Source organism: Homo sapiens, chromosome 1 (assembly GCF_000001405.40).
Source record: "Homo sapiens chromosome 1, GRCh38.p14 Primary Assembly".
Lineage (NCBI taxonomy): Eukaryota > Metazoa > Chordata > Mammalia > Primates > Hominidae > Homo > Homo sapiens.
Window position 1 is genome coordinate 104701487 of NC_000001.11, and position 16283 is coordinate 104717769.

At 32.5% G+C, this 16283-nt stretch overlaps 1 annotated feature.

Moving 5' to 3' along the window:
* Window positions 4868-6067: an enhancer, noted in NCBI's record as "P300/CBP strongly-dependent group 1 enhancer chr1:105248976-105250175 (GRCh37/hg19 assembly coordinates)". NCBI's record gives its function as "activates an origin of replication core promoter dependent on BRD2, BRD4, P300/CBP, MED14 and CDK7 cofactors, with strong dependence on P300/CBP, by STARR-seq in HCT116 cells {active_cell/tissue: HCT116}" and the evidence as "EXISTENCE:reporter gene assay evidence [ECO:0000049][PMID:35650434]".

The window sequence follows — 16283 nt, forward strand, 5'->3', positions numbered from 1 at the left end:
GAAGTGAGGGAGAGTTTTATATAATAGAAAGTCATAGACTAACCAAATTGTGGATATAATCCAGTATTATGATCATCCTCCACCTCTTTGTTATGTATTGTTTTATATCTGGTATGAGACTATAATGTCTCTTTTTATGCTCATGTGTCTCAATTCAGAAAATAAATTGTATGGTCATTCTTTTTTATGTGGAATGTAATTAAAATGGGAATAGACACCACTCAGAGAAGCCTGGAGAAGGTATTTAATATTAGACCACTGGAAATCTTTCAAAATATACAGAGCTAGGTTTAAAGAGGGCATACTTTGATCTCCTGTGCACAGCAAAGGATTCAAGTCAATATTAACTGTCAAGATCATATGAGTAAAAAGGGACTACAGTTCTTTATTATCCTCATGACTCTAGAGAGTAATTCTAGTAACCTGGCTCCTGAAATAGCTAAAGTGGAGCTTGAAAGTCTACCTTTGTATGATCTAGTCATATGTATATTTATATATTTCAATTTAATTGAATATTGTTACTCTACAACACTTTAAGATATCCAATGTAGAGCAATATTTCAGTAACTAGAAACAGGTAAATTGGCATAACCACGTACACATCAGAATCAGTGGGTATGGGCTCCTACAAAAGTGAGGAAAGGGAGAGAGAGGTAGAGCAAGATGGTGAAGTAAAAGTCTCCATTGATGGTCCTACCTGAAATAAATAATAAAGATTACAGCAGAAATAAATGAAATTGAAATAAAAAAAAAGCAAAGTATCGATAACACAAAAAGTATTAAGCTAAACAAAATCAACAAACCTTTGGCCAGACCAACTTACCAAAAAAAAAGAGAAGATACAAATAAATAAAATCAGAGATGTAAAAGGAGACATTACAACTGATAATGCAGAAATTCAGAAGATCGTTAGTGGGTACTATAAACAAGTAATAAATTTGAAAATAAATTGGAAAATCTAGAATAAATAGACAAGTTCTTAGACACATACAACCTACCAAGATTGTACCATGAAGAAACCAAAAAACAAAACCTGAACAGAAGAACAACAAGTAATATTATTGAACACATAATAATAAAAGGCTTCAAGCAAAGAAAAGCCTGGGACCTAATGGCTTCACTGCTGAATTCCACCAAACATTTAGAGAACAAATATCAATCCTCCTCAAACCAGTGTGAAATATAGAGGAGGAGAGAATACTTCCAATGACATTCTACAAGTCCAGTGTTATCCTGATACCAAAACCAAAGACGCATCAAAAAAACAAAAACAAAAACAAAAAACAAAAAACTACAGGGCAATATCACTGATAAATATTGATGCAAAAATCTTCAACTAAATACTAGCAAACTATATTCAACAACATGTTTAAAAAATCATTAATCATGACTAAGTGGGATTTATCCCAGTGATGCAAGGGTGATTCAACACACACAACTCCCATCAGTGTGATACATCATATCAGCAGAATGAGTAACAAGTATCATATTATTGTTTCAGTTGGTGCTGAAAAAGCATTTGATAATATGCAACATACCTTCATAATAAAATCCATCGGAAAACAGTATAGAAAGAAGATATCTCAACATGTTAAGAGCCCTATACCACAGACTTGCAGCTAGTATCACACTGAAATGGAAAAACTGCAGCCTTTTTTCTGAGATATGGAACATGACAAGGATGACCACTGTCACCACTGTTCTTCAGTGTAGTCCTGGAATTCCTAGCTAGAGCAATCACACAAGAGAGAGAAATAAAGTGTATCCAAATTGGAAAGAAATAAGTAAAATTATTCTTGCTTGCAGACAATAGGATCTTATATTTGGAAAAACCTAAAGATTCTACCAAAAACCTATTAGAACTGATAAGCAAATTCGGAAAGGCTGAGGATAAAAACTCAACATAAAAAATAAGGGGAAGTTGTATATGCCAGCAGCAAACAATCTGGAAAATAAATCAAGAAAATTATCACGTTTACAATAGCTACAAATAAAATACCTAGGAACTAATTTAACCAAAGAAGAGAAGAATGTCTACAATGAAAACTATAAAAGTTTGATGCAAGGAATTGAAAAGGACACAAAAACTTTTAGCTAGACACAAACCTTTAGCCAGACAAACTTTAAAAAAAAGGGAAAGATATTTCATGTTCATGAATTGGAAAAATCAATATTGTTAAAATGTCCATAGAACTCAAAGCAATCTACAGATTTAATGCAATCACTATCAAAATACCAATGATATTCTTCACAGAAACAGAATAAACAGGACTAAAATTTACATGGAACCACAAAAGACCCAGAATAGCCAAAGCTATCTTAAGCATATAAAACAAAACTGGAGGAATCACATTACTTGATTTAAATTATACTGCAGAGCTATCATAATCAAAATAGCATAATGCTGGCATGAAAACAGACACCAGTGGAATTGAATAAAGAACTCATATATAAATCCATACATCTACAGTAAAATCATTTTTGATGAGGTTCCAAGAACATTCACTGAAGGAAAAGACAGTCTCTTCAACAAATGGTGCTGGGAAAACTAGATATTTATATGCAAAAGAATAAAGCTAGAACCCTATCTTTCACCCTATACAAAAATCAAATCAAAATGGATTAAAGACAAGTATAAGACTGCAAACCATAAAACTACTAATAAAAATAATTGGGGAAACTCTTCAGGACATTGGAGTGGGCAAAGACTTTTTGAGCAATACTCCACAGGCACAGGCAACCGAAGCAAAAGTGGACCAGTGAGATTACATCAGGTTAAAAACCTTCTGCAAAGCAAAGGGAACAATGAACAAAGTGAAGAGACAACCCACAGATTGGGAGAAATTGCCTGTCTGACAAGGGATTAATAATCAGAATATATGGTGCTCATACAACTCCATAAGAAATATCTAATAATCCAATTTTTTAAATGAACAAAAGATCAGAATAGACATTTCTCAAAAGAAAACATACAGATGGAAAACAAGTATATTAAAAGATGCTTAACATCATCGATTGTATTAGTCTGGTCTCACACTGCTAATAAAGATATAACTGAGACTGGGTAATTCATAAAGGAAAGAGGTTTAATTGATTCGCGGTTCCACATGGCTGGGAGGCCTCACAATAATGGTGAAAGACAAAAGAGAAACAAAGTCACCTCTTACATGGCGGCAGGCAAGACAGTTTGTTCAGGGAAACTCCCATTTATAAAACCATCAGATTTCCTGAGACTTATTCACTGCCACAAGAACGGTATGGGGGAAACCACCCACATAATTCAATTATCTCCACTTGGCCCTGCCCTTGACATGTGGGGATTATTACAATTCAGGGTTAGATTTGGGTAGGGACACAGCCAAACCGTATCATTGATAATCACAGAAATGCAAATCAAAACTAAAATGAGGTATAATCTCACCCCAGTTGTAAGGGGAAAATATAGTAAATTTTCAGGAATAGATTGGAAATACATTCTTCTAACAATATATTGTAACCCATTCTTATTTCACCTAGAATGAAGGTTAAGAACACTTTTACTTGTCAGTTGTTTGTATTTCATTTTCAGCAAAACAATAATTGTTCATTTTCCTTTTATTTTATGTAATTTATTTCTTATTAGTTTGAAGAACACATTAAAATATTATAGAATTTAACCAATTGGAAAGTGTCTTTTATCTTTTGCTTATTTCTTATTAGTTTGAAGAATGTATTAAAACATTATACAATTTAACCAATTGGAAAGTAGCTTCTGTCTTTTGCATTAAAATTTATTACTTTACTTTAAAATTTTCTTTTCATTTTTTTCTAGATACTTTTCTTAATTTTTTTTTCATCTGGGTCATAATTTGGATAAGCCTGCATTTTGTTTCAGTATTTCCGTATTTTCTGGTTTTACCCTTAAATCTTTATTTATACATACCTTGTAAGAGTCTAAAGGTGATCTTTTCTACCTTGTAAAAAACAAGTGAATGATTAATTTTCTCTCATTGGCATTAAGTTTTGAAAAACATTATAGGTAATAATTGATTATAGCACAGAATTTACATAATTCTGTCTGATTTCATTTATAATACTGTGAAAGCAAACTATCTTTGGCCTCCAAAATCACTTAGGAAAACTCAATCTGTAAACTGCTTAAGGCAAACCTGCCTCCCATTGTATTCAAAGTTATCCCTCTCTCCCCACTCACTTACACAGATGTATATCTCATTGCCTCCTTTGGAAAGGGTAATCAGAAACTCAAAAAGAATGCAACCCTTTTGTCACACTTATCCCCCCCTCCTCCTTTGAGTCTTCCTGCCTTTAATTCAAGTTGTCTCACCTTTCCGGATCGAACCAATATATTTCTTACCTATATTAACTGATGTCTCACATCTCCCTAAAATGTATGAAACCAAGCAATGCCTCGGCCATCTTGGGCACATGTCCTCAGGACTTCCTGAGGGTGTGTCATGGGTGCGTCCTCCACCTTGGAAAAATAAACTTTCTAAGTTAACTGAGACCTATCTCAGATTTTCTGAGTTCACAATACATATTTTAAGCTCTTTGAAAATAGAGGGGTATGTTTACATTCCTTGAGGTTTATCCATAATTCATAGAAGAATACTAAGGATATGTTAATGTTTGGATGGAAAGCATTTATCCTGAAACTTGTCACATGTTTATTTTTTCAGATGAAATTTGGAATATTTTATTTAGACTCAAGTAGCACCAACACAGACAAAAATAGAATTATGATTTTATTAGGTTGTATTAAATGTATAATTACAGCTTATTAGAAATGTGTGTCCTCATACAAAAGATGATATGTCACACAGTTTACTCTGTTTTGTTTTATTTTTTTGTTTGTTATATATGTTTAATTCAGTTCACAATAGGTTATAATAATATAAATTCTATATCCTTCTTAAGTTAATACTAGTTAATTCATACTCTTGATATTGTGAATGGAGTTTTCTATAGGATTACACAATGCTTCTTGCTAATAATGAGACGAGAAGTCTTCTTCTGATTGAAGGTTTTTCTTGATCAAAGGGTTCGTGGTCTCAAGGGCTTCAAGGAATGAAGCCGTGGACCTCAGTGGCGAGTGTTACAGCTAGATTAGAGAAACACGTGGACGAAATGAGATGCCGAGTCTGCTTCCTGATCAAAGGGTTTTCTCGATCAAAGGGTTGGTAAGTCTTATGGGCTTTAAGGAATGAAGCCATGGACCGCAGAGGCTAGTGTTACAGCTCGATTAGAGAAACACGTGGACCCAAAGAGTGTGCAGCGGCAAGATTTATTAAAGCCAAAGCAAAAGTAAAGCAAAAGCAAAAGTAAAGCGAAAGCGAAAGTAAAACTTTGCTGGAAGGGGACCCAAGGGTTGCCATTTCTGGCTTGGGTGTCTTTTGCTTATATCATCTTATGACCCCTCCCCTTTTCCTTTTTCTGTCCTATAGAATTAGCTTATTGTCTATCTGCTTGTGAGTTGGTGGGCCTGATTGGTTAAAAACATGGGGCTGCAGCTAGAGTTTAAACTCCCTATATGATTGGTTGAAGTTTCAATCCCTTAGCTTGTAGCCGTGACGCATTTTAGCTCAGGGGAAAGTCCCCTTTGATTGGTTGAAGTTTCAATCCTTTAGCTTGCACTCATTTTGGCTTAGGGGAAAGTCCCCTTAGGGAAGTCCCTATTGACCCAGGAAGTCCAGCCAACTTAGCCACTTAGACCCTCAATAATATTAAGAGATTTTTAATTTTTAAGCAGAAATATTTGCAATAATTATGCCATTTACACAAACCTAATAGAATTGGCCAGCACTACAATAATTTAAAAACTTACTAGTAATGATATTCTTCTTTCTGCTTTCAATAGAGGCGTTCTCAATATTTGTCCTGAAATATGACACTGACAATTAGTAAAAAGATTTTGCTTTCAATTTGGTTATTAAAATAATTAAATTATGTTACTAAACAATTTTAAAACTTGGAAATGCATGATTCATATTCTGAAGATCTCTAGAACTTATTCATTTTATGAAACTAAAACTTTATACTTGTTGAATAGCAATTCCCAATTTCCCCCTTCCCCAGGCACCGGCAACCAACATTCTACTCTCTTCTTCTATGAGTTTGACTATTTAGATACTTCATAAAACTGGGATTATGCTGTATTTGTCTTTCTGTGACTGGCTGTTTTTGTTTAGCATAACTTCCTCCCGGTTTATTCTTCTTGTTGATAAAGCCAGACAGTTGGTTTTTTTTATTTGTTTGTTTGTTTTGAGGCAGGGTCTTACTCTATGAAGTGCAATGGCATAATCATGGCTCACAGCAGTCTCCACCTCTCAGGTTCAAGCCACTCGGGAGGCTGACAGGAGGATCTGTGTGAGCCACCATGCCCAGCTAATTTTTTTTTTTTAATTTTTTATAGAGACACAGTCTCCCTTTGTTGCCCAGGATGGTCTCACTCTCTTGGGCTCAAACAATCCTCCTGCCTTGGCCTCCCAAGGGGAGGGATTATAGGCAGGAACCACCACAACTGGCCAGGCTGAATAATATTTTTTTTGTATGTTTACACGATATTATCTTTATCTGCTACTGAACATTGAAGTTGCCTCTAAATCTTGGCTAGTATGAATAATGGTGCAATGAACATGGGATTATAAATATCTTTCACAATACTGATTTTAATTCCTTTGGACAAATACTCAGAGTGGGATTGTTGGTAGTTTTATTTTTAATTTTTTGAGGAACCTGCACACTGTTTTTCATAACAGCTGCTCCAGATCACATTCCAGCAATATTGTGCAAAGATTCTAGTTTTTGCACACCATCAAAACTTATATTTTCTCCTGTTTTTCTTTGCTTTATAATAGTCATTCTAACAGATGTGAGATGATATTACAATTTTGATTTGTATTAACCTGAGGATTAGCGATGTTGAGTATCTCTTCATATGTGTTGATTATTTGCCTGTCTTCTTAGAAGAAATATTTACTAAAGACTTTTGCTGATTTTTTAATTGGATTATTTCTTTCAGTTGTGTGAGTTTCTTATATATTTTTACTATTAGCCTCTTATCAGATGTGTGGTTTGCAAATATTTCCTCCCATTACCTAGATTGCCTTTTCACCATTTTGATTTTTTTGTCTTTGCTGTGAAGAGCTTTTCCTTTTATATAGCTTCACTTTATTTTTGTTTTCATTACTTGCGCTGTTGGTGTATATCCAAGGAATGATTGCCAATAACAATGTCAGGAAGCTTCCTCCCTGTTTCTTGTAGGAGGTTTACAGTTTCAGATCTTGTGTTTAAGTCTTTAGTCTATTTTGAGTTGATTTTTGTGTATAGTATAGGATAAAGGTTCAATTTCATTCTTTGCATGTTATACGTGGTTTATCAAATACCATTTGTTGAAGATATATCCTTTTCCCATTATGTATGTTTGGCATCCGTGTAAAAGATAAATTGACTGAATATGTATGAGTTTACTTCTTGGCTCTCTATTCTGTTGAATTGCTAGAAATGTCTATTTTTATGCCAGCACCTTACTGTTTTAATTTTGTAGTGCTGTAATATGTTCTGAAATCAGGAAGCTCTATTCTTCCTTTTCAAGGTTGTTTAGATTATTCAGTCTTTTGTGGTTCCATACAAATTTTAGAATTGTTTCTTAATATATAAATGAAATGTGGCATATTCAGTGGAATTTTAATCAGCTATAAAAAAGATTTGTTATAATATACTAAAAACAGTATGCTCTGTGAAAGAAAGCAGTTCCAAGAGAACACATATTGTATGATTATAATTATAGAAATATGAGAAAAAGACTATCTTGAGAGACAAAAAGCAGGATTAATGGTTCCTTCCAAGATTTTTCTTTGGTAGGTTTTTGATCTCTTTGTTAAAAGTTTCGTTTTGCTCACACATTGCTCTCTTGATCTTATTGAGCATCTTTATGAGTGTTATTTCAAATTCTTTTTTCATAACTTTGTTTGATTAGGATTGATTTGGAGTTTTATCTTGTTACTTTGTTTGGGATGTCACTCCCTATTTCTTCATTTTCTTTGATTCTTTCTGTTGGTATCTGTGCACTAGTAAAAAACAGCCATCTTTCCCAGTTTTCATTCATGTAGGACCTTCACCAATCAGCCTAGCCAGAGATTCTTGGGGTCTGGCAGACCTTTGTGTTAGTCTAAACCACTGTTTTTATTCTTAGGCATGCTGATCAGTCAGTGCTTCAAAACAGGTGAGACAATAGCCAATCCCTCGGGTAGTCACTAGAAAAGTTGGAGAGTTCTATGCTCAGTCCAACTCTTTCCTTTTCCAGAGAAAAGAAGGAATCTGAGGTTGAGCTGAGGGGCAGGGATTATGGCTACTGCTTGCATTCTACTTTCAACCATCTTCTTTCTTCTTACTAGCCCCATGTCAGGATCCATCAGTGTTCTGAGACCAGAGACAGAAATCAGTACCTTGGGCACATCCTTGAAAGATCTGAGCATTGGTCATGTCGTCAAATGTCCTTCTTCTCTAGGGAGAATCTGAAAGCTTTCCTTCTGATCTTATGGCATTGTGATGGGGTTAGGGATTATGGCTAAAGGAATTCTGAAGTTTTTCTACCAACTATGATGAATCTGATTTCACACTCACCCAAAGCGCAGAAATCTCTCAACTAGTATTTGAATTTACCATGGGAATTTGTCCATGTATTACTGTTCAATCTGTGTGTTCTTAATCAGAAGGAAGTTCCAGGGCTTTCTATTCTGCCACTTGGATAACATTTATCAATATCATTTTTACCATGTGTTTCAAGTTTTAATTTTTTAAATTCCTATTTTAAATTTTTGCATATTTTTCAGTAATATTAGTATGCAAAGTTTTAAAAATTGTTCTTATAGCTGAGTTTTGACGTAAAATTTATATTAACATTCCAAAACTAAGTGAAGGAATTTCTCTCTTTCCTTGCATTGAAACAGCTAGAATACAGATCTAGTAATTTTTGAGTGTTCAAATAACTTACTTGTGTAGATGATGACTTGGTTATGCTTAATGAGGTTAAATTTAAAATATTTTTATGTTACCATATTATTATTCATTTAATTGGGTTTCTTATTACTTCTTGCAATGTAGGCTTCCCTTCAAAAGTTTATACTGATTTGCACATTTGTTACCACATATTTATAAAAAATAATCTTCTAAATATTTCAATTTTTCATCTGTGGTTATATATGCTTTTCATGCATAAATCGCAATGTGACCGCTTTTTCTTTATTACTTTTTAGGAGTTTCATTTTTCCCAAAAAATCAGTTTTTTAATATGTTATATATTTTAAAAACATTAATAACATCACTTTTTAGTATAATTATTCCCCATTTCTTTTTATAGCTGATTTGAGTGGATTCTGTTTCTTGTAAATACATTATTTCTAAGATAAACTGTTTTCTTTTTTATTATTTGTTTCATAGATATTGGACCATCCTTTAAATTTAGTGATTTTACTTTTTGAAAACTTCTTAGTATATTTCAGCTGTAGAACAATTGAGTTTTAACTCATTATGCCATTTTAAAAATAGGCAAATGTCTCAATTGCATTCTTGATTGATTTATATCTTTACATTTATAGTTTAATAACATTTTCTACTTTCTTTTCTTTCTCTTGCTTTTGTGAGTTTCAATTTAAAAAGAAATTCTGTCATCACTTCAATTGAAATATAAATTACTTTCAAGCATTTATAAAAGATACACAAACATTAATTAAAACATCAATTTGATGTATAAAAATAATTCGGGAGTTGATAGCCCAACTACAAAGATCTTTACTTCATTATGAACTACCACAGTATAAATGGTTTTCTAGGCCATGGTAGAATTACATGACCTTTCCAGTTGGCTCTATGACAGAGCCATGATTCTCTTAGAAATTTTAAATGTCACTAATGATGGTCCATGTTAGTATCTGTGACTCTCCATGTGTAAGATATGTTTTTCCTTTGTTTTTGTTACTATACATCATTCCTAATCCTATTTTAGGCTCTGTTCTCCACTTGTTCAATGGATCCATGAATTTGAATTCACAGAAGAATTTCATTGCTGGATCAATCCCTGCTCTGTCCTACATCACCATTTTTAACACTCATGGTTGGCTTACCTTCATCAGCTAAAAGCATGCTTCAATGTCGCTCATACTGAGCAATTAAAAACAGGCAACAAAACATCTTGTAACTAGAGTCCCCTCCACGCACTGGATTTTCTGGTTTTTTTTGTTTGTTTGTTTTGAGACAGAGTTTTGCTCTTGTTGCCCAGGCGGGAGTGCAATGGCCCAATCTTGGCTCACTGCAACCTCCACCTCCTAGGTTCAAGTGATTCTCCTGCCCTAGCCTTCAGAATAGCTGGGATTACAGGCATGTGCCCCCATGTCTGGCTAATTTTTTGTATTTTTAGTTGGGATAGGGTTTCACCATGTTGGCCAAGCTGGTCTCGAACTCCTGGCCTCAGGCATGAGCCACCACAACCGGCCTGATTTTCTGTTCATCTTACAGGAAAATTTAATCTTTATAATTAGATGCTGTATCCACTATCTTTACCTCTTTTCTCTTTCTCTCTTGAACTTACTTCAATAAGTCTTTTATGTCCTTTCTTATCCTCCACATTCAGATGAAATATACATCCCTAGCTTCCTCGGCGTTCTCTCTCCCCTTCTTCCTCTGTCTTCCCCTCTCTCTCACCCATACCCCCAGACTCCTTAACTTCATATGCTTCTCCTTTCAATCACTTTGAGCTGAATTTGTTTTGATTTTTTTTTGTACCTTAAATGTCAGAACCAAGGGCATGACATTTAGGTTTGAACCTCAGCTCTCATCTCATATACTCACCCATTCTCCAGCTGATCCCTAGAAATCTTGTATCCTTAAACACAATAATGATCTTTGCATATATACATATATACATATACATATGCATATATACATATATATACATATACATATGCATATATACATATATATACATATACTACTCTTGAAGAATGTAAAATATACATTTTATGCATATATAAAAATACATATATATAAAACATACATGTTATGCATATGTATACATATACATATATATGTGTAACATGTATATTTTATATATATACATATATACACACACACATTTTGTTTATCATTGTTTATCCAGAACATAAAAGAGTTCTGGCACATAGTAAGGGCTTAAACTATTTTTCTTTATTAGATAAATAAATAAAAATATGTGGCTCTTGTCAAATGCTAAGAATACTTAGATATGTATTGTTTTAATTATCTTTTACTTTTCCTAGTTAGAATCAATTCTGCATCTCAGCTCTGTCAATAAAGAAAGTCTCCAACTTATCACCTTTTTCCACCTTTCACATTTCTAGTTTCTAATTTGGGTCGGCAGTTTGTTATTTTTAGTAATTTTGAATACTCTATAATGTTCTGTATGTTTCCACCCGTAACTTATAAACTTATAACCACCTGTGACTAGTTTCTTAGATTTAAATTTACATAAAAACTACTGTCATGCTTATCCATAACACATACTTGTAGAAGTATACTTGCAATTTCTGCTTTTAATTTTTTTATGTCTCGGTTTTCATAAACAGATCTGTACAGAAATGTTATTTTTGTAATATAATTTAAAATCTTTATCTATTATTTATTTTATTTTCGGTCTTCAGATATATTATCCATATAATATTTCCATTGTGTGGACTCTATAACTATCATCTTTGTCTTTATTTCTAAATTTTTTGATATAATTTTTTTCACAGCTTCTAAGGTTTTCTTGAGATTACACTTCACAACACTTGATTTAATATTTGGCAGGACTGATTCTCTGCTTAATTTAATTTTACTTATGATACAATTTCTGTTATGCTTTTTTCTTTAAGAAATATTTTTATCTACTTTTGTAATGATTTATGCAAGAAATTTCTTGATATTTTCATTTTTTACTCTGTTCACTATACCCCAGGTAACCCACTTAACATTTTCCAAAACCTATAGTATAACTGTTCATTTTTGTAAAGATATATTTTATGCAAATTACTTTAAAAAACTATGACTTTCTTTGACTATCTTTTTTTCTAACTCTTAGTAGATATATAAGTTAGAAAAATATTTATCATGTATGAAAAACATAATAGAGAAAGAGCTGTAGTAAGTGGGCAATGATAATTACTCTTCGTGTCAGATAGACAATAGTTTATAAACCACAGAATGAATATTCAATAAAAGAGACACAAACCTAATCTTCTTCCTCAAGAGAAGGAATAAATTTACATATTTCTGTTAGTTTTCTAATTCTTTTTCTCTTGGCTTAATTTCTTAAAAAAATCACCTTAATATTTGTCCATTGGGCCATCAATTTGTGAGCTTTTCATTAAGAAATAAGTAAAAAAAAATCCATAAATTAAGAGTTTCTGTAAAAGAGGAGCAAGAGGATCAAGAGACACTGTATTTAAGAGATTATAACTCAAGATCTTCATTTTTCTCACATTTTATAAAAGTGAATATATCTATTTTTAAAATATGTACACCTTTTAATTTTTTAATTCTTCCAAGTATAGTTGAACTTTCTCATATTGAGAACCATATGTTATCAATTATGTCCAAAATACTAGCTTTAAAACTCCATTAAAAATAACTCATTTGGATATAATTTAGTCACAATCCTTGCTTCATAGACTAGAATGCTGCATTGCCCAGTCACATGAAAACTCCTGAGGACCGGAGTACTATACAATAGTTCTATATATACTATTCCATAGTTTGTGCTTCTGTTGCATGATCATAGCATTCCCTTGCCACCCCACACACCAGTTTAGTGACTAAATTTTAAATATAAGTTGACAATTTCCACCATATTTGATGAAATATAGGCAAGGTGTTTTACTAATTTACACCTCAATAATTTTGTCATTGCAAACTTACAGGTAGATCTGCTTACATCTCAATCACCACGATGACTAATAGGTTTGCAATTTTAAAAATTAGGATACTTCCTATAAAACACACTCTATAAATAAATGAAATGTATTCTAATAGGAAATCAGTCGCCATGGTAGTTTTTTTGAGACACAATATTTGTCTTCAAAGCATGTAACTCACTAGGGTGTTCTTCAAAGGTAGGTCATGTGAAATTGGTGATGTCAAATCTCATCATATTCACTTGCTTTTGTATGAGATTTCTTTGAGGTATAGAATTTACCCTGTTGTGGTAACTACTTTTGCGCATTGAATCTATTAAAGATTCCATATGTGTTTTTTGTATGAGTTAGATAAGCTATGCTTTTTTCAACATTTTGATCTAATTTGAAAATGTATGAGTGCCCACTAAAAATATATTAAAGACCTTGAGGTTTTCAAGTGGTAGTTATTTTACAATTATAATGTAGTATTCTTACTTTGCATTTATTGTCTGTAATTAACGGTAGGAAACAAGTGACATATGCTTATGTAAAAATTTTAAAGCCACAGAAATGTTGCCTCTTAGATCATATTTACTCATTCAAAGAAACCAGAAAGTTATTCAGTGCCTATGTGACAGGCACCATGGGATCTAATGTAATCACAGGATGCATTAGGAGCACACATTGATCGAATACAAAGACATTTTCAAGAGGGAACAAAAGTGTAATGTTAGTATAAATACAGAGTACTTTACAAGTAGCACAGGAAAATCACATAGTTAAATATTGAATAAAAATGTTTTCGAGGAATGCTGGATACAACCTGTAACTGGCATAACAGGTGTTAGAGGTATTAAGCTAAACTGGGAATGGGGAAAGCAGAGAGATAGTCAAGTTGTAGGATGGAGAAAGGAGAAGACCCAAGAAGAATTGTGCAAATGCTAAGTGGTAAAGAAAGTGGGAAAAAATAGCCTATATAATGGAATGTTTATGGCTCCGTTTAGCTGGGCCAAGAATGTTCCTTTGGGAAAGGAGGTCAGAGGCTAAACCATTGTTTTTGAACTTTCACCAAAGTCTTGATTCGAAACACGTTTATCAGTTCCATGAATCTTTTATTTTGTAGTTGCTGAATTATACATTTTGATCATACCTGCGATTCATTTGTTTCTGTTTATTCAACTGAATTCCAACCATTTTCTCACATATGGCAATTATGTTCTTAGATCTGAAACATAATAGTGTCTTTATTATTCTATCTATTTTTGTGCCTATAAATAGGTATTATAATTTTTTTTCAAAAATCTAAACAAGGCCTTTGTCCTACTTTGGTGTACTGAGGATGACATTCCATATTTCATTTCTTATTTTGTGTGTGCATCTGCATATTTGTGTGTGTGTGAGTGCGTATGCACACATATTTTCATCCCCTATTCAGGAGAAATGCCTATTAGGATCACTGCATAAAATAATAGGTTTGAAAACAGTGTTGTCAGAAAGCAATGTCAAAGCCATTAGGGGTATTCTATTCCACTCTACAAACTGAGTTAATGGAGGCATATATAGGGAGTTGAAAGATATTAGCCGTAATCTATAAGAATGTAGAAATTTAATACATCCACAATAAAATGCCAGAACTAAAAGAGCTAACTGCAACTTGCATCTACTCTAGATTCTTGCATTTAATAGCTGTTTAATAATTAGACACTGTAATATAGGTACTTATATAAGCTTTATATTTATGATATTCTGAAGAGGGAAGAGCATTGCAAGGCAAAGATGTTTACAGAATGTGAGAAGGTTAAATGTTAATTTTAAAGATGTAAAAAAATATATAATCTAAGTGTTCATCAACACATAAATGGATGAGAAAAATGTGGTATATATACACAATGGAATACTATTCCGCATTAAGAAATGAAATTTTGTCATTTGCAGACATGAAATTTGTTAAGTGAAATAAGCCAGGCATAGAAAGATACCACATGTACTCACTCATATGTGGGCACTAAAAAATTTGGTGGCATGTAGGTAGAGAGTAGAAAGATAATAGAGTTAATAGAGACTTGGAAGAGTAAGTGGAGATAAGGGAAGAGAATGAAGAGAACTGGTTTAAAGGTTACAAACATACAGTAAGATAGAAGGAAAAAATTCAATGCTATATAGCAGATTAGAGAGACTAGATGTAACAAAAATGTATTGTATTTGGGTGATGGACACTAAGCCCTGACTTAATCACTATGCATTACACAAAATTTCTCATGTATCCCATAACACTGTAAAAATAAAATATGTATATATACTCTATTCCATTCTTTCCCTTCGGACATTGTGATGACTAATATACATTTTAAATGTTATCTTTTAATTCTATTATTAACTTTTTTGAAAGTGAAATGTGATCAGAATAAGCCTGTATTTTGCCACTAAACGTGCCGTTATTAATACGAGTAATTTTTTTTGTCCAAGTTTAGTAATTTAGCATTCTTAAAATTTGGCTGCTTTTTCATGTCATTCCATGAATACCATTGAAAGGCAATTATTTCTAAATAAAGGTAGTTTATAGATATGATAAATAATATTTAAAATGAGTCTTTTCTGTGAGATTTTTAAACACCAAAAAAGTGCACATGCTCACAAAACATACATGAAAGTTAATATTAGACAATATTTACTATATTTATGAAATAAATAATATTTTAACCACAAAATCAACATTTTTCTAACTGTAAAATATTGCCAGATAATCAACAAGGATTAAGCACCATGTTGGAACAAAAGTAGTCTAGAATTATACTTTCAAAGCTGAGCACCTGCTGTAAAATAACCATCTGTGATTAACTGTAATTTAATTATAAATTCATTTCTTTTGTGTATACTGGAAAGATCTCACAGGTCTTCCCAAGTTGGTTGACAATCAACTTCTGGTATTTTGTCAAGCACACTTGCATATTTTCTTAATAGCACCTGCTAACTCTATTTCACTGCAAATTTTGTAAAGAGCTTCTGGGACTTTATGGTGGCACTAACAGGCAAATGAATTATTAAATCTGTAATCAAAGCTGCATTAATTTATCATCTGCAGTAGAAAGCTGATGCTGAAAGCTTTAGGATAAGTTTATGTTTACCTATAAAAAGTCATATGAAAAGTTTAGATATTTAATAGAATAATTGAGGTAGCCAAACATTTGTGACCATCTTATTTTTTAGAAGTGGTTTTCATTATTTTAGCAACAATTATTTATCTAATTGTTGTCTTCCTTTGCAATAATTAAATGATGATAAAATTAAAGTTATTATACTTTTCTATTTGCATTGATAATTATCAATTAACTTTTTTATTAGATATTTCAAAAATGTTACACTCCTTTTTTACAGAAA